This window comes from Homo sapiens, chromosome 20 (assembly GCF_000001405.40).
Source record: "Homo sapiens chromosome 20, GRCh38.p14 Primary Assembly".
NCBI lineage: Eukaryota > Metazoa > Chordata > Mammalia > Primates > Hominidae > Homo > Homo sapiens.
In genome coordinates, this window is record NC_000020.11 from 57,188,190 (window position 1) to 57,210,075 (window position 21,886).

General features: G+C 48.5%; 1 protein-coding gene across 1 annotated transcript in view, besides 3 other annotated features; it reads right to left on the reverse strand.

Moving 5' to 3' along the window:
- BMP7 (bone morphogenetic protein 7) overlaps window positions 1–21,886 on the reverse strand; it is a 97,889-nt gene that overhangs the window by 19,437 nt on the left and 56,566 nt on the right. Inside the window, exon 3 of the mRNA NM_001719.3 lies at window positions 14,286–14,434. Within this exon, the coding sequence (NP_001710.1) occupies window positions 14,286–14,434 (149 nt within the window). The remainder of the gene's footprint in view (window positions 1–14,285; window positions 14,435–21,886) is intronic.
- Window positions 10,135–10,793: an enhancer, noted in NCBI's record as "H3K27ac-H3K4me1 hESC enhancer chr20:55773380-55774038 (GRCh37/hg19 assembly coordinates)". NCBI's record gives its function as "activates a minimal SCP1, AML or CMV promoter by ChIP-STARR-seq in primed H9 embryonic stem cells {active_cell/tissue: H9 hESC(primed)}" and the evidence as "EXISTENCE:reporter gene assay evidence [ECO:0000049][PMID:30033119]".
- Window positions 10,794–11,453: an enhancer, noted in NCBI's record as "H3K27ac-H3K4me1 hESC enhancer chr20:55774039-55774698 (GRCh37/hg19 assembly coordinates)". NCBI's record gives its function as "activates a minimal SCP1, AML or CMV promoter by ChIP-STARR-seq in naive and primed H9 embryonic stem cells {active_cell/tissue: H9 hESC(naive and primed)}" and the evidence as "EXISTENCE:reporter gene assay evidence [ECO:0000049][PMID:30033119]".
- Window positions 17,055–18,254: an enhancer, noted in NCBI's record as "BRD4-independent group 4 enhancer chr20:55780300-55781499 (GRCh37/hg19 assembly coordinates)". NCBI's record gives its function as "activates an origin of replication core promoter dependent on BRD2, P300/CBP, MED14 and CDK7 cofactors, and independent of BRD4, by STARR-seq in HCT116 cells {active_cell/tissue: HCT116}" and the evidence as "EXISTENCE:reporter gene assay evidence [ECO:0000049][PMID:35650434]".

Below are 21,886 nucleotides of genomic sequence, written 5' to 3' on the forward strand. Positions count from 1 at the left end.
GAAACAACCCGATGTCCATTAACAAATGAATGGATAAACAAAATATGGTGAATCCATATAGTGGAATATTGTTTGCCATAAAAAGGAGTCATTTTCTGATCCATGATACAACACGGACAAACCTTCAACTCGTTACACGAAATGGAAGAAGCCAGATACAAAAGCCACACATTGAATGATCCTATTTCTATGAAATGTCCGGAACAGGTAAATCCATAGAAACAGAAAGTAGCTTACTGGTTGCCTAGAGCTAGGGGTTGGGGGAGCAGAGAGTGGCTCTTAAGGGATATTTCGGAGTGATACGGAAACGTTCTAGAATCAGACAATGGGATGGCTGCACAACAATGAGAATATACTAAAAAAAAAAAAAAAAAATCACCAAATTGCACTCTTTGAAATGGTGAGTTTTATGTTAGGAAAATTAGATCTCACATTTTTTAAAAAACTAAAAAGCAAAACAGGGGTGGGAATGACCCACTCACTGTGCCTTAGAGGGACAGTTTGTATAAATAAACAGTAAGGATGCCTACCGCAGTGTCTGGCTGTTTACCCAATAAATGCCTGCCTCACCAGCAGCAGACTGGGAGCTCATGGCCCACCCCATCCTCAACACAGCCCCAGGGCAGATGCTGCAACCTCACTTTGCAAAGGAGGAACAAGACTCTGAGTGAGGAAGGCCTTTGAGCTGGTCCACGGCAAGGCCAAGATTCGAACCCTGGTCTGTCAAAACCAAAGCCTGCATTCTCTGCCACGACAACCACAAGCTCTCGTGCTGCAAACACACCCAAGGCCTCCCTTCCGTCTGGGTTTACAGTCAGTTCTCAACTAGGGTCAAAGCTCCCCAGAAGGGGGTGGGACCTACACATGAGCTTGGAGGTCAGCACCCCAGGGGTGGGGAGGGGACAACTTCTTCCAACAGCTAGGTCTTTTTGTCCCTGTTATTCCTTGAAATGTCAAATGCCTGACTATAGTCATTTGGAAGAAATTGGACTGAAATACTCTGAACTCAGTTATCTGACTTTTTCTTGGGGTACAGGGGGCTCTGAAAACAATACCTGATGACTGCAAACAGAGGAAATCACAGAGAAGAACGTAGGCCCTGGAACATCTTGCTCAGAGCCCATTTGCGGGCAGCGACCTCCCATCCATCCCCAGGCGCCAGCACCGGCTATACAATCTGCAAGGCCCGGTGCAAAATGAAAATGTGGGGCCTCTTGTTCAAAAGTGATTCATCATTTCAAGGTGGGGGCAGCAGAAGCAAACCCAGCACAGGGCCCTTCTAAGTTCACCCACACCTGTGAGGCTGGCCCCATCGCACACGCGTGACGCAGAGACAGGGTGCCATTCCACATGATTGGGACTGCACCGTCAATCCTGTTTCATATCACTCTGCCCTTTACGTAATATATTGCAGACATATTTCCACGTCGATGAAACACACACTGACCTTCTCCCTGGTGGCCACAGAGGAGCTTCCCATCTGGAAACACTGAGATAGAAGCATCCTTTGCCTCGTCCTCCTCTCCTAACGTAGGTTCTGTGTCCCAGGCTTGAACAACTAACTTGTTTTTTCATTAATTCATTCAGCAACTGTTTATTGAGCACCTACTGTGTGCCAGGGGCTGGGGCACATCGGTGAATGAGAACACGACCACCCTGGGAGCTGACTGGCGAGGGAGATCAGCTCAGGGGTGCACAGTGCTGTGTCTGATGGTGGCAAGGACTAGGAAGAACCTAGGACAGGGTGGCAGGGACATGACAGTGGGGCACAGTGTACAGGGCAGAGTGAGCCATGGGAGGTTTTGGGGAGGAAATGTTCCTGGCAGAGGGAATGGCACATGCCAGGTTCATGAGAAATACACGGTGTGTGTCAGCACAGTGAAGAGGCCAGTGAGGCTGGAGAAGTGAGCCAGGAACCAGAGAGGTTGAGACTGGAGATAGTGAGCGAGGAACCGGAGGGGGTGAAGCTGGAGAGAGTGAGCCAGGAATCAGAGGAGGTGAGGCCAGAGAGAGTGAGCGAGGAACCAGAGGGGGTGAGGCTGGAGAGAGTGACCGAGGAACCAGAGGAGGTGAGGCTGGAGAGAGTGAGCCAGGAACCAGAGGAGGTGAGGCCAGAGTGAGTGAGGAGCTTGAAGGGGTGAGGCTGGAGACAGTGAGCGAGGAACCAGAGGGGGTGAGGCTGGAGAGCGTGAGTGAGGAGCCCGAGGGGGTGAGGCTGGAGAGCGTGAGTGAGGAGCCCGAGGGGGTGAGGCTGGAGAGCGTGAGTGAGGAGCCCGAGGGGGTGAGGCTGGAGAGAGTGAGTGAGGAGCCCAAGGGGGTGAAGCCGAGGTGGGTATGGGGCTGGGTCACCTGGGGTCTCCCAGCCCAGTGGGGGATTTGGGCAGGGGGCGACGTGGCCAGGGTTCTGTGGTGGGAGACCCATTCTGAATGCCGTGTGGGGAACCAACAAGGCTGGGAGAGAGAGTGGTGGTCCAGAAGCGCGTCCGCTCCTGCCCGCCCCTCCTCCAGGCCCCACCACGCTCAGGGCCGGCCTCCCTGGGATCCTCACACATACTACCCTCCTCCTCCAACAAGCTCAACAACTTAGGGGAAGGATGGTCTCCTGCACCCACTGCTCCTGCACAGAAGCCAGCTTTAACGCTGGCTCCAAAGCTTGTTCACCAGACAGGCCACAGCCAGCATGGTGGGCCTGCCCACTCCAGCGCAGTGGGCATCGGGGCTGCCTCGGGCATGGTGGGATGTTTAGCAGTACCCTTGGCCTCTTCTCACTAATGCCAGTAGCACCTCTCCATGTCATGACAACCAAATATGTCTCCAGACATTGCTACATGTCCCCTGGGAGGAAAACCATCCCTGGTCAAGAGCCATGGCTGTACAAACACACTCCCTAAACAAGCCAAGAAAGGAAGATGTGTAAAGGTGAGTCATCGCAGCCGAGTCTGACCTACAAAACCCAAGAGAGAATGTAGTGCTTTATCAAGAAGAGATTAATGAACTTAGAAGGTGCATCATGAAGCATCAACCAGTGCCTGAAGATTCATTTACTGAACACGTGTTCATGCCTCGGGTACTGAGCCCAGCACTACCGTGTGCTCTGGGGTGCTCCAGAGGCAAGACAGGCGCAGGCTCTGGTGGGGCCAACAGAAGGAAAGTTCCCTCCCATGAGCCACTAAATGAGGAGGAGCATGCAAATTAGCCTGATTACACCTAGGAAGAAAGAAATGTAGGCCAGGTGTGGTGGCTAACGCCTATAATCCCAGCACTTTGGGAGGCCGAGGCAGGCAGATCACTTGAGGTCAGGAGTTTGAGACCAGCCTGGCCAACATGGAGAAACCCCGTGTTGTAGAGACTAAAAACCCCGTGTTAGTAGAGACTAAAAACACAAAGAAAATTAGCTGGACGTCATGGTGCACGCCTGTAATCCCAGCTACTTGGGAGGCTGAGGCACAAGAATCGCTTGAACCCGGGAGACAGAGGTTGCAGTGAGCCGGAGATCATGTCACGGCGCTCCAGCCTGGGTGACAGAGTGAGACTCCACCTAAAACATATATATATAATATATACTATAATATATAATATATATAATATACTATATATTATATATTTTTATATTATAGTATATATATGTTTTTATATATTATACATATTTTATATATTATAGATATAAAATATACATATACTATATATTATATAGTATATATAGTATAGATAGTATACATACTATATATTATATATTTTCTATTATAGTATATTATATAATATAGTATATACCACATAATATAGTATATTATATAATTGTATATTATTGTATATGTAATATATATTATATATAATATATAATATAGCATATTATAGTATATTATATAATATATATTTATATCTAAATTTATATATTTATTTATATTTATAAATTTATATAATATATACATATTATACTATATATTATATTATATATAATATATAGTTATACATAGATATATAATATATACTATATATTATATATAGTATATATACTATTACATATTATATACTATTATATTATATAATAGTATATAGCATATATACTATAGTATATATAGTATATATACTATAATATATATAGTATATATTATATATAAAATATAGAAGACATATTAATATATATTATGTATTTTTTATGTGTATATATATATAAAGCACATACTAACGTAGGTGCTCGTGTACAGATGTAACATGTATTTTGTTCTAATACCCCAGGAAGGGCTGAGAAAGGTTATTTTGCAGGAGAACAATTCCTTTTCATTTTATGTTATAAAATATCAGATTTAGTCAGTGCGCGTAACTATTTACTTTGATTATTTGTATTTAAATGTCCCGGACAAGTCACACTGGCTAGGGAGCCAGCCTGCATCTGTAAGGCATAGGGGCGAGGTGAGTGAACAAATTGATGTAGGCAGGAAGGCAGGACCTGCATCATATTTTAACCATAAAATCTGTATCTTTGAGAAAGTTTGAAAATATATTTTAGCAGAGGTTTAATAGTTTTTTTTTAAAGCCTGCAGATTTGCCCAAGAATAGCAGATTTTGAAAAAAAAAAACAAAAACAGGGTGCCTGATTGAATTTGAATTTCAGATAAACATATAATGTTTGCAATACGAGGGACATGCTGAACTAAGCGATTCTTTGTTGTTTGTCTAAATTCAAATTTAACTCGGCATCTTGTATTCTATCTCCAAGAGATTCTCCTTAAGGGTGGGATAGAAAGGCTTTCCTGCGGTATAATAACTGAGCTCTCTGCAGGCTGCAGCTGCCAGGTGGGAAAGGGGCCCGGCCTACCTGACAGGCAGGTAGAGGGGCCCAGAGGTCATGGCTTTGCTGGTTTCTTCATTGGGACTCAGTGCTTGTCTCTCTGTGGTGTGTTTTGTTGCTTTTGGAAGTCTTAGTTTTTAAGTTACCATACAGTAAAATCCACCCCTTTTGGTATGCCCATCTGTAAGCACTAGCGCGTGTACAGACGCCGGTACCCAGCTTCAATCGGGATACAGAGCAGCTCCACGCCACAAAGAACTCTCTGAGCTGCCTTTTAGCTCAGTGGCTCCCAACTGGGGTGATGCTGCTCCCCAAGAGACATGTGGCAATGTTTGAGACATTTTTGGTTGTCGTAACTGAGCAGTTGCTACTGGCATTGAGTGGGTGGAGGCCAGGGAAGCTGTCAACATCCTACGATGCATAGGACGGCCCCCAACTGAGAACTACCCAGTAGTGCCAAGGCTGGGAAACTCCGCTTTGTAGTCACATGGCTCCGACCGCCGGCCTCTGGCAAGACACTGACCCACTCACATCACTATAACTGCATTTTCTAGATATTTCATACCAATGGACTCCTGCACTCTTTTGCATTGGCTTATTCCAACCTGCACAATACCTTTGAGATCATCCACGTAGCTGCATTTCAATAGTTCATTCCTTTTTGCTGTATGTAAGTAGCATAATTTGTTTATCCATCCATCTGGTGGCTTCCAGCTTTGGTGATTACTCATATAATGAGAGACATCATGTGCAGGTTTTGGGGTGAACTTACCTTGGCATTTTCTGATGTAAAGCAGAAATTGAGTCCTTTACATTGCCAAAACCAGCCCTTTGCACGCTGTAGGCGCCCTCTGTTCACAAAGCATCACAGCTACTATTGTCTGAAGAGGCCAGGAAAGCTGTCTGACCAGACCTTTGCTCCGATGGTCCAGAGCAGATTGGAGAAGGCCCAATCGTTGCAGGGAGGTGAGGCAGAAGTGGCTGGTGCGGACCCCACAGCCATGCCCAGCCCCCTCGTGCCTGACCTTCCTCCGTCCATGAACGCTGCACATTAGACCCTTTCCAGCATCCCCTGCAGCTCCTGCTGGGGATGGATGCTGCAGGCTTCTCAGAAGTGTCTTCTCCCCAAAAAAGGCAGGCACATGATGAGATAAACATCCTTCCTCCTTGCCTACTGCATTTTCCTTCCATGCTTGTGGACATGGAGGCAGCCACATTGCCAACCATGATGAGAGAGCCTCAGGACAAAATGTCAACACTGTCAAGATGATGGGGCCGGAAGGGAAAAAGCCTCGAGTCTGTTGATACTCTAGCCCAGGGGCCAACAAACTACAGCCTGCAGGCCATATCCAGCCCACTGCCTGTTCTTGCAAATAAAACTTTATTGGAACACAGTCGATGCACAGTCAGGAACGCATGATCTGTGGCTACTCTCACACTAAACAGCAGGCAAAAACGAACGCCTGACGCTCAAAGCCTAAAATATGTACTCTCTGGTACTTTACTGAAGATGAAAACCTTTGCTGACCCTGACTCTAACCAACCCTAGATCCACTCACTTCCAGACTTGTAGGGAAAACCATCAGTGTCCTCATGAGATAAGACATCATTATTTTCTATTATTTGCCAGTATAAGTATTCTGGGTACAGTTGATTCCATCGTTGCTTCTCAACAAAAATGAAAACCCACCAATGTATACCAAGCACCGTGCTAAGCCCGTTCCATGCATCGCTCCTCGCTGGAATCTCCCAAGGTAGAACTGTGACCCCACATTTACAAAGGAGGAAAGCAAGGTCACAGGCGCAAAGTCACCTACCGGGGACCCAATGCTAGGGAGTACAGAGATGGAGTCCACACCCTGGCCCAGCCGACTGGAGCCTGTGAGCTCGACCCCTGCACCATCTGCCAATGAGTCCAGGCGATGGCAGGGAAAAGGATCCCCCAAAATTCAGAGAGACTGCCCAGGCATAGATGTAGGTGACTTACGGGGACCCCAAAGGTAGGAGGGATTCACTGAGGCATAGAGGGAAAGGCCTTCTAAAAGGAGCCTGGTGGAGATAGGACTCAGAGTGAGCTGAGGACAGGGCCCAGCCGTGCATCCTGGCACCGCTGGCAAACCCCAGACGACTTGAGCAAAATCGGCATGGCCAGCCCGAGGAACCCAGCGAACTCTGCGGAAAGACCCTGGAGAGCAGGCAGGGAGCACAGTGAGGCCCCTTGGTAAAGGAGGGGATGCAGCCCACCCACGCCGCACAGGGGTGGCATCTCGGTTTCCTTGTGGCTTTTTTGTTTTCCAGGCCCAGGGCTACAGGCTACCCTTCCAAGACCCACAGCACAAGAATGTTTCTCATTAATTGTGAAAAACACATTCACTCCAGCCATTTCTCTGGGTGGACCAAGGCCCAAGTGACAAGTGAGAACTTAGTTAACACTTGTGACATCTGCCTGGCCCCAATTACCCAATTCCGCCCTCCCCATTCTTGCCGTCCCAGCCCTGGAAGGACCGATCCCCGCCACTGGGTCATCAGGCTTTCTCTTTTCTCTCCCTCTCCGGCTTCTGGACAAACAGGATGTGAAGCAATCGCATGGAGCGAAGGCACCTTGGAGCCAGCTGCGCCGTGGGCGGCATCGCTCACCAGCCTTGGCTTTGTGGGGCTTAGTTTCCACAGCCGCCGCAGGCGAGTGGCTCACCTCCTGGCTCCTTCCTCAGCTGCCACAGCTGAGTGTCACACTTGGACAGCACATGCCCTTCAATCCTTTAAATGCTCTGCAATCCCATCCAATTCAATCTGGAGTGAGCATGAAGTAAGACACGTGCTCTCGTGTGTCACAGGAGAGACGCTCAGGGCTCTCTGCATGCAGATAGCCAAAATGCACATGCTCCTGACCCCCAGCAGACTTACTTCAGGAAACAAAGATGGGGTGCAGGAGGGAGAGAGGTGCCCTATGACCTTGGAGCTCAGGGTATGGACAGCCAGCGCTTACTGGAGCTGGAGAAAAGGGTCCCCAACGAGGGAGTATAACATGAGGCAGACAAGGGCTCCCCGATCATCTTCTTGGATCTGAGAGGCAGGGCTGATTGACATGGCCCTCCTGAGTCGCGAGTGATTTCTTCTGCAAACAAGGAAGAGGAGGGAGACACCATGAACCAGGACAAAAGGCTGCAGTCCCTTTCTTGGGACAAATGACCTGGTGCTTCCATGTCTGCAAGGACGACAGTCTCCCCAGCCCAAACCAGTCTTCATCTCTCTGCAGCAGGCTTTGCGGGTAGAAGACGGCACAAGGAAAATGGGCGTATTGATTTGTAGAGCAGCAGGAAGCCCTTCTGAACCATACTCAGAGCCTCAGACCTCATCTGCATGGCTTCACCCCTACCCTTCAGTACATGGTCTCTCGTTCCTGGTCGGACTCCTCCTAGAAGAATGTGAGCAACACAACAGCCAAATCTTCATTTTGTTCAAGGCTGTGCCCCTGCTGCTTCGAACAGTCCTTGCCTCATTGTAGGGGCACAACAGTCCTTGGCTCATTGTTTGTTGAGTGAATAACTGTGCTTCCAACATAGGTGGAGAGGCTATTTGCTGTAGGAAACTTGTTCTAACAACCAGATGCGGGGGTGGGGGAAGACCATCATTCATCATTCACTCCCCATGCTGGGATGCAGGGCCCACGAAAACACTATAATGTCTCTTAAAATCGGAAGATAAAACATGAACTTTTAGTGTCTAAGAAAGTTTTGGTTTTTAATTCAAAGCTGGGCACCTGCAATTCCAGCTACTCAGGAGGCTGAGGCTAGAGGATCGCTTGAGCCTGGACAGCCTGGGCAACGTAGCAAGACCCCATCTCAAAAATAATCTTAATTTTTAATTCACCCAGAATTATAATATTCATCTTGATATCAACATGGCCATAAAACATACTTTTTAATTTAATTTTTTTTTTTGAGACAGAGTCCCACTCTGTTGCCCAGGCTGGAGTGCGGTAGTATGATCTCGGTTCACTGCAACCTCCACCTCCCGGGTTCAAGTGATTCTCCTGAGTCAGCCTCCCGAGTAGCTGGGACTACAGGCGCACACCACCACACCTGGCTAACTGTTGTATTTTTAGTAAAGACGGGGTTTCACCATGTTGCCCAGGCTGGTCTCAAACTCCTGACCTCGTGATCTGCCCGCCTCAGTCTCCCAAAGTGTTGGGATTATAGGCATGAGCCACCGCACCCGGCCCTAATTTTTTTTTTTTTTGTAATGGAGGGAGGAGCCCATAGAAGTCAAGGGCAGCCCTGGTCACTTCTGCAAAGGGGGCTCCCACAGTGAGTCCTGCAAGAAGCCTACTGTCTTCTGAGTGCTTTTTAGAAACACTTTCCTTCCCAGGTGAAAAGCCAGGTAAGACCTAACATGTTAGAGGGTCCTGGGGTCTCTACCTCCGGATGGCCAGGCTGGGTCCCCTGCAGGGGCTCATCTGCCCCTCCAAACCCCATCCTGAGGCTGCAGCCTGGTGAACACATTCCTTGGAAGATTTTCCAGCAAAGAGGAAGGGAGTTGGAGTCACAATCCTCTGGCCAAAGCCCAGATCTACACCTGGGAGTCATGAGAAAGTTCCCCAGCCTTCTCAGCTTCTATTTCCTCATCTATAAAATGTTGGTGATATCAATTGTGCTACCTGGGCAGGATTATTGAGAGAACTAAATAAATCAACAATTAGAACTTCTAACATTCATGAGCACAGACAGGGTGCTGGGCCCAGGATTCAGCATGTTCTGAGAACTCACTTTCTTCTTCCAGCCGCCTACAGAATCCGTGATGGTATTATGTTCATGGAACAGACAAAGGAACAAGACCCCAAGAAGTTGGAGTAGCTGCTGAGACCACACAAAGGTGACTGAGGAGCTGTGCTATGACAGGGGCAGGGGTGCCAGAGTATGAGTGTGCAGGGGTTGCTAGTCCATCCTGCTTCTAAAAGCTGCACCCACACTGGAAGCTCAGGGCCTGGCTTGTAGGGAGGGTTCCCCTGCCTTAAGGCCACAAGGTGGGAGGAGCCCCGAGCTGCAGGATTCCCTCCACTCAAAGGTGCCTTGCCTCTCCTCTCCTCTCCCCTCCTCTCCTCTCGCTCTCCTCTCCCCCTTCTCTCCTCTTGCTCTCCTCTCCTCTCCCCTCCTCTCCTCTCGCTCTCCTCTCCCCCTCCTCTCTATCCTCTCCTCTCGCTCTCCTCTCCCCCTCCTCTCTATCCTCTCCTCTCACTCTCCTCTCCCCTCCTCTCCTCTCGCTCTCCTCTCTATCCTCTCCTTTCTCACAGGGCTCTGGGCAGTGCTAGATTCACCCCGGGTCTCTGACACCAGCATCCAGCATGGGCTGTAGGACACAGCCAGTCCATGGGTGGGAAGCACAGCCTGGGGGCTGGAACAAGTGGAGAGGCTGCCTCTCCTCTCTTCTGTATTAAGGGAAAGACAAACAGACTCCAGCCCTCATTCCTGTAGCACCAGCCCATCCCCAGGGAGATGAGACCAGGCTCCCCGCTCGGCCTCCTCCTGATGAGCTGCAGGTGCCTGGGAGTTTATAGGCTTCTCCCCGCGAGGGCACGCTGGCCTGGAGCAGAGCCCCAGCTGCGGCTGCTCCGCATGGTGACTCACAGGAGGGCCCAGCTGGGAGGAAGAGGGAAAAGACGCACGCTTCCTGGGTGGTCTCAGAAGGGCACCTCCGCACTTTGACCTCGAGACCCCCCACCACCCGTGGCCAGATGGGAGGGAAGGAGGACGCCATCTGGGCTTTGGAGTTTTGGAGACCACTGGCAGGCAGGGGCTCATGTGGGGTTAAACACCAGCCTTCTGAAAGAAGGTCTGCGATGGCTGCGCCCCGCTAGAATGGAAACACGCTGGCCCAAATTACTATCCTCCACATGCCCATTGTGTGCATGAGAAAAGCAAGGCCCCAGGAGGTGTCCGGGCTCCAAATTCCAGCAGCTGCTGGGGGCTCCTCTCCACCCACGCACAGTGTAACTGCCTAGTGGTTGCAAGGTTCAGGTGACCCTGTCTCTACCCCTTCTGGATGATGACATGGGCGCTGCTGCCTGGGCACCTGTCTTCTCTGGGTGCTGGTGCAGGCAGGATATCCTCTGAGTTAATATCAGTAAGAGGTCCCCAGGGTAGGGACCAGGGTCTCTGCAGCCAGCTCGGGGCCAGGCACAAAGCAGGTGTGCACTGATTTGTCGGATGCACACCGCCTCCCACAGGCCCTGCTGCCCTTCCCCGTGCAGGATCTGGCAGGGGAGGGTTGAGACCCAGAACCCGAGGGGTACCTGTCAGCCCAGGCACCATCTTGTAAACAGGCTGCCCTAGGCACCGTGCACGACTTTGCCAGAGTGTTGTCACTGGGCCAGGCCTCAAGTTACCCAAGTCTTCTTTTAGAAGGTGGCTAAGGAATAAAAAGCTACATACTGGGTGCAGCGTGCACTACTTGGCTGACAGGAGCACTAGAATCTCAGACTTTATGATTTGCCCACGGAAACAAAACCACATGTACCCCTAAAGCTACTGGGGAAAAGGGGCATATTCCTGGGCGCATCCTCTGAGATCCCCCACGGTGGGTCTGAAATGGAGCTCAGGCACCTGCATGTGCAGTTTGCCCCCTAGGGTGACCCTGAAGGACGCCAGGCTTGAGATCCTCCACGGTAGGGAAAACAAAGCATTTTCACAGCCATGATGTCTCGAAAATCCCGGACTCACTTGCTCTTTAGCTCACCCCCAAGAGGTCCAAAACTCCACACAGCCAACTGGCCATTATACACTTTGCCCCTCCCTGACAATCCAAGTGGGTGATCCTCCCCCGACTTGGGCAACCACACAAAACTCACTGCCTGGGCGCGCACAGCACCTGGACAAGCCAAGTCACTGGGCGGTGGCACCACACCCGGCCCCCAGGGCCCTGCCCAGGAGGAGCAAAGATGGTGTCCCGGAGTCAGAGGGGGACAGGGACACAGCATCTAATCCTTGATCTGACTCTAGATAGCAACCTGCAGCCACTAGGCTGCAAGGAATGGAGAGGGTCTCAGGTGGGCTCTGAAATATGGAGCCCCGGCGGGTTCTCAGGAGCCTCCATTTCCTGCCTGCACCACGGGGATGTGAGCCACAGCATCTACCTTGCTGGGTAATTGTGAGGATCACAAGAGACAGTGGTGCTTCGTAGCAACCACACACTGAGCAATTAAACTCTTCACTTGCATGAGCTCATCTAATCCCTCACAACCGCCCTTGGAGATGGAAACTATTATTAACCCCATTTTCCAGATGAGACACATTAAGTGACTCACCCTAGGTCACAAGGCCGGAAATAGCAGGGCTAGGATTTGAACCTGGGGAGCCTGGCTCGGGAGCCCGAGCTCTAACCATCAGGCAGCACTGCCTCCACCAATGCTGAGCCTTTCTCCATAACCTGGACAATGGGGGAGTAGGTGCTGGAGGTGAAAGGGGCAAAAGGACTCTGACTGTGTCTGGGGGGAATGATGAGGGCAGGACTGGTAGTAAGAGGAGCTGGCCACAGGGCTGGCGTCAATTAAGACAAAATCACCTGAGCCAGCAGAACAGGCAAGACAGAGAAGCACAGAACCCACTGGGGCCCAGTTGGAAGGTTTCCCCAACATCTACAAGTCCACAGAAATGTGTTACTAAAAATAGAAAAATTAGCCGGTGTGGTGGCGGGCGCCTGTAGTCCCAGCTACTCAAGCGCTGAAGCAGGAGAATCGCTTGAACCTGGGAGGCGGAGGTTATAGTGAATCGAGATCGTGCCATTGCACTCCAGCCTGGGTGACAGAGACTCCATCTCAAAAAAAAATAAAACTACAAATAGACAATGCCACTTCAGGAATTGGTCCTAGAGCTACACTCAAACGAAAAACGACCTACACACCAAGGTTTCCCACTGAAGCCCTGTTTGTGAGACCAAAAGACTAGAAAACACCTAGGCATCCATCCCAGGAGAGCTGGGTATGTCAGTTTTGGTGATCATGATGACGAGGATGATGACTGCTCTCCTTTACATGTGTATTACAGTTAGGTCCTGTTCTAAGCCTCATTACTCAAAGCACGGTCCAGGGACCAGCAGCTTCTGTCACCTGGTGGCTGTCTGAGAACACAGACTCCTCTGCCCCAGGCCAGCTGAGTCAGAATCTGCATTTTACCAAGATGCCTGGGAAAATCCTACGTACATTAAGGCACTATTTTTAAAAACTCTTCCCATAATAACCCATTACATCTTGTAACAACCCAATGGCCCAAATCCTCTCATCACCTGCATGCTGGATGAGAAAGCCCAGGCTCTGACAGGTTAGGGAAATTGTCCAACGTCACACAGTGTGTGGGTGGCAGAGCTACATGGACACAAAACACATGGAACAAGGAAGCTCTTTAACGGCTGACAGGACCAGTCTCCGAGATAAGTCAGCTGGAGAACACTGTATATGCCAGGCCACCATTTATGGGAGAGGGGAAAAACAGAAAGCCGAATCTCCATGTAATTGCTGAAATACCCAGAGAGCATCTCTGAAAAGACAGAAACAGCAGTTGTCCCTGGGAAGTGGAACTCAGCAGCTGGAGAAGAAAGTGGGAGGGAAACTATTTAGTGTTACACATGTATTGTTCATAGCTCCAAAGGCAAACATTGTGAAGGTGTTTATTCAAAAATAAATGAAAAAATTGTTTTGTTCATAAAACTGGTGGAAGGAAGAAGCTACACAGCTGGAAACCATCACCACTGAATTTTAAGCAAAGTCAAGCTACAAGATATCATTTCTTATCTGTTTGGGGTGGGGAAAAATTAGCATAGAGAAGTCCATTCCCACTTCTCCACTCACCATCCTTCCTTCTTCCCTTCTCAAAGGAGGCAGAACTGTAGTGGGAATGAGAAGTGTTGGGGAGGGCAGACTCACAATGGATTCTCCAGGAACTGGAGAGTCAGACGCACATTCAGGTTCTAATGTGGAAGGGACCAATGCCTTGCACAAGGGCAATTTTGTCCCACAGGGCACAATCTGGCGATGTCTGGAGACATTTTTCGGTGTCACAACTGGGAGATGCTACTAGCATCTAGTGAGTAAGAGACCGGGGACGCTGCTAAACACCCTGCCGTGCACGGAACAGTCCAGAATGTCCTGTGTCCTGTGGTGTCACCTTGGGGCTCTAGTTAAAGTGCAGGTTCTGATGCAGCAGGTCTGGGGTGGGCCCAGGATTCTGCATTTCTCATAAGAGGGCTGCCCTCACCCCTGCTGATATGGGACCACCCTTTGTGTAATGAAGCCTTACCCAATTCTGCTATGACCAAACATGTAATCTTCTTGTGAAAAGAGGGGAAGGGGCTGCTTCTGGTTTGGATCAAAAGGCTGAACATGGAGTACTGGTTGGGAGGGGCGGGGAAGCCTGTTTGTAGTGAAGCAAGCATGAGCACTGCTGAGACCCTCCTGAAGTCCAGGAGCACAGGCTGCATTAGGACTGGCAGTGGCCGGGGGACTCACCATCCAGCGTCTCCACCGAGAGCTGCAGGCCCAGGTTGTGCCGCGGATTGACCACCCAGTGGTTGCTGGTGGCTGTGATGTCAAACACCAGCCAGCCCTCCTCCGAGGCCCAGAGGGTACGGCTGTCGAGCAGGAAGAGATCCGATTCCCTGCGAGAGAGGAGGAGAGACACGGGCTTCGCGTTAGCCAGGTCACAGCTCCACTACCCCAACAGATGGGAAGCAGAGCCTCATGGGGTGGGAGGGGAGGGAAAGAGTCCACTGGTCCCCGACAAGTGGGAACATCAGACCAAGATCCAGGCACAAAGACCCCTCAGTAGCTGTGGTGAGGAAAGAGAGTGCAGAAGAGCTACAAAGAGATACACGCAGGGAAAAGGCAGCTGTTACAAGGCAATCTCACCCCATAAATTGTTAAGGGCATCCCAGCGGGACAGAGTATAGGAAGACAGGGATTATGCAGCCTCCGTGTTGCTGGAAGAGTCTCAGAGAGCAGAAGTTGATAGTGACTGAACTATTCACCATGTGCCAGATACTGTCCCACGGGCTCAACACTACACTATCTCATTCAATTCCCACAACCCGAAGCTGTGGGAATATCATTTCCACTCAATTTATGGTAAAGCCATGATTTGCCCAAGGTCCAAGGTCATTTAACCAGGAAGTTGCCAAGCTGGGGTTTCAGCCCATTTACCTGTGTACCAGAGCAGATACTCTTCATTTCCAGGACGTGCACCATCTTTATGAGCCCACCAAGAGTTAGGAGGTGAATCTCTGGACTGATGGTATTAATAGTGAAAATCCTTTCATTCTCTCTTCCTTACTTTTTACAGTAGCAAAATGGGTAAAATCATAATTAACTTGACAGGGGATGGAGGGTGAATGGGTGGTTGGATGGATGGGTAGATGGGTAGGTGAGTGAATGGATGGGTACGTGGGTGAATGAGTGGATGGATGGATGGATGGTTGGATGGATAAGTGAATGGATGGGTAGATGAGTGGGTGGGTGGATGGATGGATGGATGGATGGATGAGTAGATGGGTGGGCGGGTAGGTGAATGAGTGGATGGGTAAATGGGTGGATGGATGGATGAATGGGTAGATGAGTAGATGAATAAGAGGGTAAATAAGTGGATTGTTACATTTCTGGATAGTAGAATTCTAGTATGAAAGATCTTCATAACATTTCTTGCACACTTTTAATAAGAATTCAAAGTTTCAATACTTTGAGTCCTTTAATAGTCAACTAGAATATTTATACCTCTGTGTTGTACCAGAAACCAAGGCATAATGATGAACAACATGACACTGGTCCCTGCCCCAGGGCAACAACAGTCTCTATCATACCTGGAGTTATCTAATCTTCCTGGTGATTATAGTGAATCTTGTCTGCTCACACGTAAAGATGTCAGGCATATCCTTTATGGAGCACTTACCATATGCCAGGCTCCAGGTTGAAATGCCTGACCAGTCTCATGTCACTTAGTTCTTACAACACTCTGTAGGGTAGATAATATTCCCCATGCCATTGTGCAGAACTCAAAACTCAGGATCCGAAAGGTCAAGTTGTGTGCCCAGGGTTATGCCACTAGGACAGTCCAGGCAGGACTGGAAACCAACCAGGCTACCTGCAAGCCCAAGCTTGCAACTGTACACAAAGACAGTTCTTCTGGACACTGCCTTTTCAGAGCCTTTCACCAGTCAACCTCGTTGGAATGTAACCCACTAAGCCACGGGCAGGAGCCGAGCCACTCATGTCCCCTTTGATGAGGCACACATCTCCGGTTGGCTCCAGCCCCCAGCTCTCCGTACTAACACTGCAGACAGCCACCGCTATTTATCTTCCTGTCTGACCTGGACAACTCTAGGTTTGTGAGGTCTGCTAGATCACCCTTCTGCTGCATGCCATAATATGTTAGACATTCGTCAGGCACATCAATGTGAACAAGGCTCAGAGAAGACACACGGGAAACAGACCTGTAATGTTAGCAAGTATTGGGAGATTAACAGACCCGGAGAAGCCTACACAGGGAAGAAGAACCAGGGTCAGAAACAGACAGGAACCGAGGCAGGTGCGAGGGCACAGCGCAATTTTCTCAGGCACAAGCACAGAAGGAACGAATCGGAGCTGCTTTTCCCTCTGGGCCTCTCTCCATCCAAAACTCTGGGGGACAGAATCCAGTTGGCCCAGTCAATCTATGTGCCCACTCCTAGCCATGGGAGGGTGGGCACCCCACAGCAATGGACGCATCACCAGGACCACAGATGGGCGCAGGAGTCACCTCCTCCCATGCCACCTCAAAGTCTCCTTTTTAAGTAATATTCAATGACCCCCAGAACCTGATTCAGAAAATGCTTAATTCTGTTATTGCTGTGGTTTCAATGTTTTGTCCTTCCCAAGACTCATGTTGAAAATCCCCAATGCATCATTATTAAGAGGTGGGCCCTTTAGGAGGTGATTAGGCCATTGGGGATGGATTGGTGTCTTTATGAATGGGTTTGAGGGAGAAAGTCTGGACCCTTTCTGTTTTTCCATCTTCGGCCATGTGAGGACACGGCAACGAGGTGTCATCTTGAAGCAGAGGGCAGCCTTCACCAGACACTGACCCTGCCAGCGCCTAGATCTTGGACTTCCCAGTCTCCAGGACTATAAGGAATGAGGTATTTGTTTTTTGTTTGTTTGTTTGTTTGTTTTTAAAGATTGTAAAGGACTCATTCCTCTCTCAAGCACAGAGAGATGACAGAAGCAAGGAAGTCTTTTTAGAGCCACACAGGACTTTGAAGACCCTAAGTTTACCTTTCACATCCAAACTGAATTAAAGTCATGAGATTATTTTTCATGACTCATTTACTTCTTCTTCCCCATGCTCTTTTAGAGGTAGTTTCAGGCTGGCTTCGGGGATGTCTACACAGATTTTAAACTTATAAACAAGAATTTCCTGCTGTCTTATCTCCAGTTTGCCTGGATGACTTTCCTGGCTTTGAAAAGCTACCAAGGTTGTCAATGAACCATTAGCGATTCTCAACAATTAACAGATGAGACAAGAAGCACCACTCCAAGTCGAAACAACTTCTCCTACTGAATCAGGCTCCCAAGGCCCCTGTAGGAAATATCCACACCTCAGCACAGAAGTCACAAACCCAGATGGTGATTTTGCTGGAAAATTGTTATTAGCAGGAAAATGTGACCAGATATCTGGACAGGCCCTCGAGGACAGTAAAACAATGAATGGTAACCAAAGGAACAGAGTGAGACCTTTAAACAGAGAACGCCTCGCCAAACGATACTGAGCATTCTCTTATTGCAGGCTATGACACTGAGGCCAGATGCTACAGGCCAGCACTGACTCATCCATGAATCAACGTGAATGCGTCAACTCCCCTCCTTCAAGTCATAGTTTGCAATTTGTCCCAGGCACACTTAGGAGAGCCAAATCTTCATCAGAAGGCACTGGGAGACGGGAGCCTTGCTGAGATGGGTCGAGTGTGAGATGCTAACACGGGCTTTGCTTTCAGACTGAGAGCCCAGGCATGAGGTTGGACCTCATGGAAAGGACAAGGAAGGAATTACTCAGCAGCCAGGTCCAGTCTGACAGCTCGGAGAGGGGGAATTTCTAGCTGCCACCTTGAGCATCGTAAAAGAACACTGGTTCTTACAACCAGGAGAGCACTGAAGGAGCCCTTTGTGACATTTTTATTTACCTTGAACACACTGGCCTCCCCGGCCCAGCCCAGGTGAGAGAAGAGGTAAGGAAGGCTCAGGGTGAAAGGCCCTGAGGAACCTAAATGCGTTCTTTCACCTTCGCCACTGCTGAGAATCTCGGTGCTTTCCACGCCTCGGTTCTCTGAATCTCCCCGCCAGCCCTATGAAATGATCAAAGTCCTGTTACTGTTTTACAGATGAGAAAAGTTGGGGTCAGTGAAATGAAGCCAGTTGTCTCCAGGGACACACCTGATAAGTGGCAGAACCAGGCGACAGCGCAGGAAACCTGACTCAAGAGCCTGAGCGCTTAAACCCTGCCACCTCCTTCACTCACCTGGGGATAAGAGACACATAGGAAGATGTCAAATCCTGTATGATACGTGTTGTCATCACAGCGTTGTGTGGGGCAGAGAAAATACTAGAGGGGGATGAAACCCAGGTGATGGAGAAGGGATAAGGCAAGGTTACGCCAGATAATTCCCGTGTCTTGGTTTCCTCTTATGTAAAATGAGAATAATGCCATCTTCTTCAATGATTAGGAAGAGCCAGGTTAAGACCAGCCTGGCAGCAAACTCCAAGACACTCCTGGAAGAGCATCTATACTTATTACAAGGTATGTCAGTGTTGGTGTCTATTCTCTGCTAAACTTCAGGAAATCCTAGGATGGGGACTTTACATGTCTTGGTCCCAGAGGTTATGTGACTTGCCCATGATTCTCCAGTCAACAGACCACTTGTCCATTCCAAGAATGTTTACCTTGGACTCCAAAATTTGTCAGAAAAGTGTCCTATGTTCACAGTAGTGTTAGATTTTCTGCAAATAACAGCCACCAACAATTCCTTGTCTCTGTATGCACATGCTGCTGTCCCATAAACTTGTGGAGTCTGTTCCCCACCTCTGAAGTCTGGACTGACCATGTGATCTGCTGTGACCAGTAGGACCCAGTGGAACTGAGGTCCTGCCAGGCTCAGGACTAGGACTCAAGAAGCCTATCATTTCTATTTTTGCCCTCTGGGAAGGAAGCCACTGAATCGAGAAATCTGACTACACTGCTGAAGGAAGAGACCACATGGAGGGGAAGGAGGCACAGGTCATGGAGGATAAGGGTCTATAAACCAGAGAGAGAGAGAAAAACCAAGCCAGTCCCCAGTGAGGTGCCATCTCAGGCCTTCCAGACCTAGTCAAGCTCCTAGCTCCATCAGTGACTACAGCAGATACCAGAAAGAGTAGAAGAACCACCCAGCTAAGCCCTGCCTAAATTCCTGAGCAATAAAACGATGTTGTTTTAAGCCACTACATATGAGTGGTTAGTTTCAGAGACAGATAACCCAAACAACAGTCACATTGTTTATAACAGAAAAACTGAGCACTAACCATCCAGTGAGAGGGACTGGTAAAAACATTATGGCACATCCAAGGCAACAGAGCCCTGCACAGCCGCTTCAAAGGACCGTATAAATCTACACTTGTTGACAAGGTGGAAATATGATAGGAAGGTGCTAAGAAACAGAATTTGTAGGACTGAAACTTCTGGGAAAATGCAAAATGCAAAAATTGGTGCAAAAAGAAATGAAAATTTTGATTTGCCCAAAAGAAACTGAAATAGGAAGGTCTTTCCCATCCCCATACCCCAGTTGGTTTTTTTTTTTTTTTTTTTTTTTTTTTTTGAGACGGAGTCTCGCTCTGTCGCCCAGGCTGGACTGCGGACTGCAGTGGCGCAATCTCGGCTCACTGCAAGCTCCGCTTCCCGGGTTCACGCCATTCTCCTGCCTCAGCCTCCCCAGTAGCTGGGACTACAGGCGCCCGCCACCGCGCCCGGCTAATTTTTTGTATTTTTAGTAGAGACGGGGTTTCACCTTGTTAGCCAGGATGGTCTCGATCTCCTGACCTCATGATCCACCCGCCTCGGCCTCCCAAAGTGCTGGGATTACAGGCGTGAGCCACCGCACCCGGCCCCCAGTTGGTTTTATAACCACAGATTTTGCAAATTATCAACAGATAATTCTTTCTTATATAATTTGATCAAGAACATGGAAGAAGGAGTGTTTGAAACCCATATTGTAAAGCTAGCACGCCACTGACTCCCAAAATAGAGAAGGCTAATTTGAACAGACATTTTCCTAAAGAAGATGCACAAATGGCCAGTGAGCCATGAAAAGATGCTAAACATCATCAGCAACCATTAGGGAAACGCAAATTGAAACCACAGTGAGACAGCACTTCACACCCACTAGGATGACTAGAGCCAAAACCACAGATGATAACTAGTGTTACTGGCAAGGATGTAGAGAAAGTGGAACTCTCATATACTAATGGTAGGATTGGAAAATGGGGCAGCCACTCTGGAAAACAGTATAGTGGTGTCTCAAAAGGTCAAATGTAGAATTACCATGTGACCCAGTAATTCAGCTACCCACAGAAGCAATTAAAATACATGTCCACCCAAAATCTTATACACCAATGTTCATAGCAGGATTATTCACAGCCAAAAAGGTAGAAACAGCCAAAGTGTCCATCAACTCATGAACAGATAAACAAAATACAGTCAATTGATACAATGGAATATTATTTGGCATTAAAAAATGAAGTTCTGATAAAGGCTACAACACAGATGAATCTTGAAATCATTATGCTAAGAAAAAGCAGTCAGACTTAAAAGATTGCATAGTATATGAGTCCATTTCTATGAAATGTCCCAAATAGGCAAATCCATAAAGACAGAAAGTAGGGCCAGGTGTGGTGGCTCACACCTGTAATCCCAGCACTTTGGGAGGTAGAGGTAGGCAGATTGCTTGAGCCCAGGAGTTCAAGACCAGACTGGGCAAGACGGCAAAACCCCGTCTCTACAAAAAATATAAAAATTGGCCAGGCACGGTGGCTCACGCCTATAATCCCAGCACTTTGGGAGGCTGAGGCGTGTGGATCACCCTGAGGTCGGGAGTTCGAGACCAGCCTGACCAACATGGAGAAACCCCATCTCTACTAAATCACACCATTGTACTCCAGCCTGGGTAGCAAGGGCGAAACTCTGTCTCAAAAATAAATGAATAAACAAATACCTAGATTTATATATTTTTATATATATATATATATATATATATATATATATATATGTATATAAATTAACCAGGCGTGGTGGTACATGCCTGTAGTCCCAGCTACTCGAGAGGCTGAGGCAGGAGAATCGCTTGAGCCCAGGAGGCGGAGGTTGCAGTGAGCTGTGATCACGCTATTGCACTCCAGCCTGAGTGACAGAGCGAGACCCTGTCTCAAACAAAAAGAAAATAAAAGAAAGTAGATTAGTGTTTGCCAACAGCTAGACAGGTAGGGAAAATGGGGGTAACTGTTAGTGGGTATGGAGTTTCCTTTCGGGGTGATGAAAACATTCTAACATTAGACAGTGGTGTTGGCTGCACAACTCTGAATGTACCAAAAACCACTGAATTATACACTTCAAATCTTAATAAAGCTATTTTTTGAAAATGGATAAGGCCAATCTAAGCCCCAAATATAGAGTATGGTGCCATTATGTTAACAATTGTTTTAAAGTGTACACACAGCTGCATGAAACATTTACACGCATACACACCAGAGTGGTAGCAACAATTCACTGTGAAGTATTTTGCTTCCCTTTACAAGCTAACACATGTACGTCAATATTGTCTCAATTTAGTAAGCATGCCCTATTTCTGGAAAAAGCTAGATCTGTATGGGGCAACATATTTCCATGTTATACTTGAACAGCAGAACAAACCTAGGTGAGGGGGCAAGCCTGGCTCTCATCTTCTTTCCTGGGTTTGGACAGTTTTTTCCACTCCTCTAATCTCAGAGAAAGGCAGCAGAGCCAGGGGACAGGCCACACGTCTGTTGTCTATAAACTTGATGATCCTTCCACTTTCTCA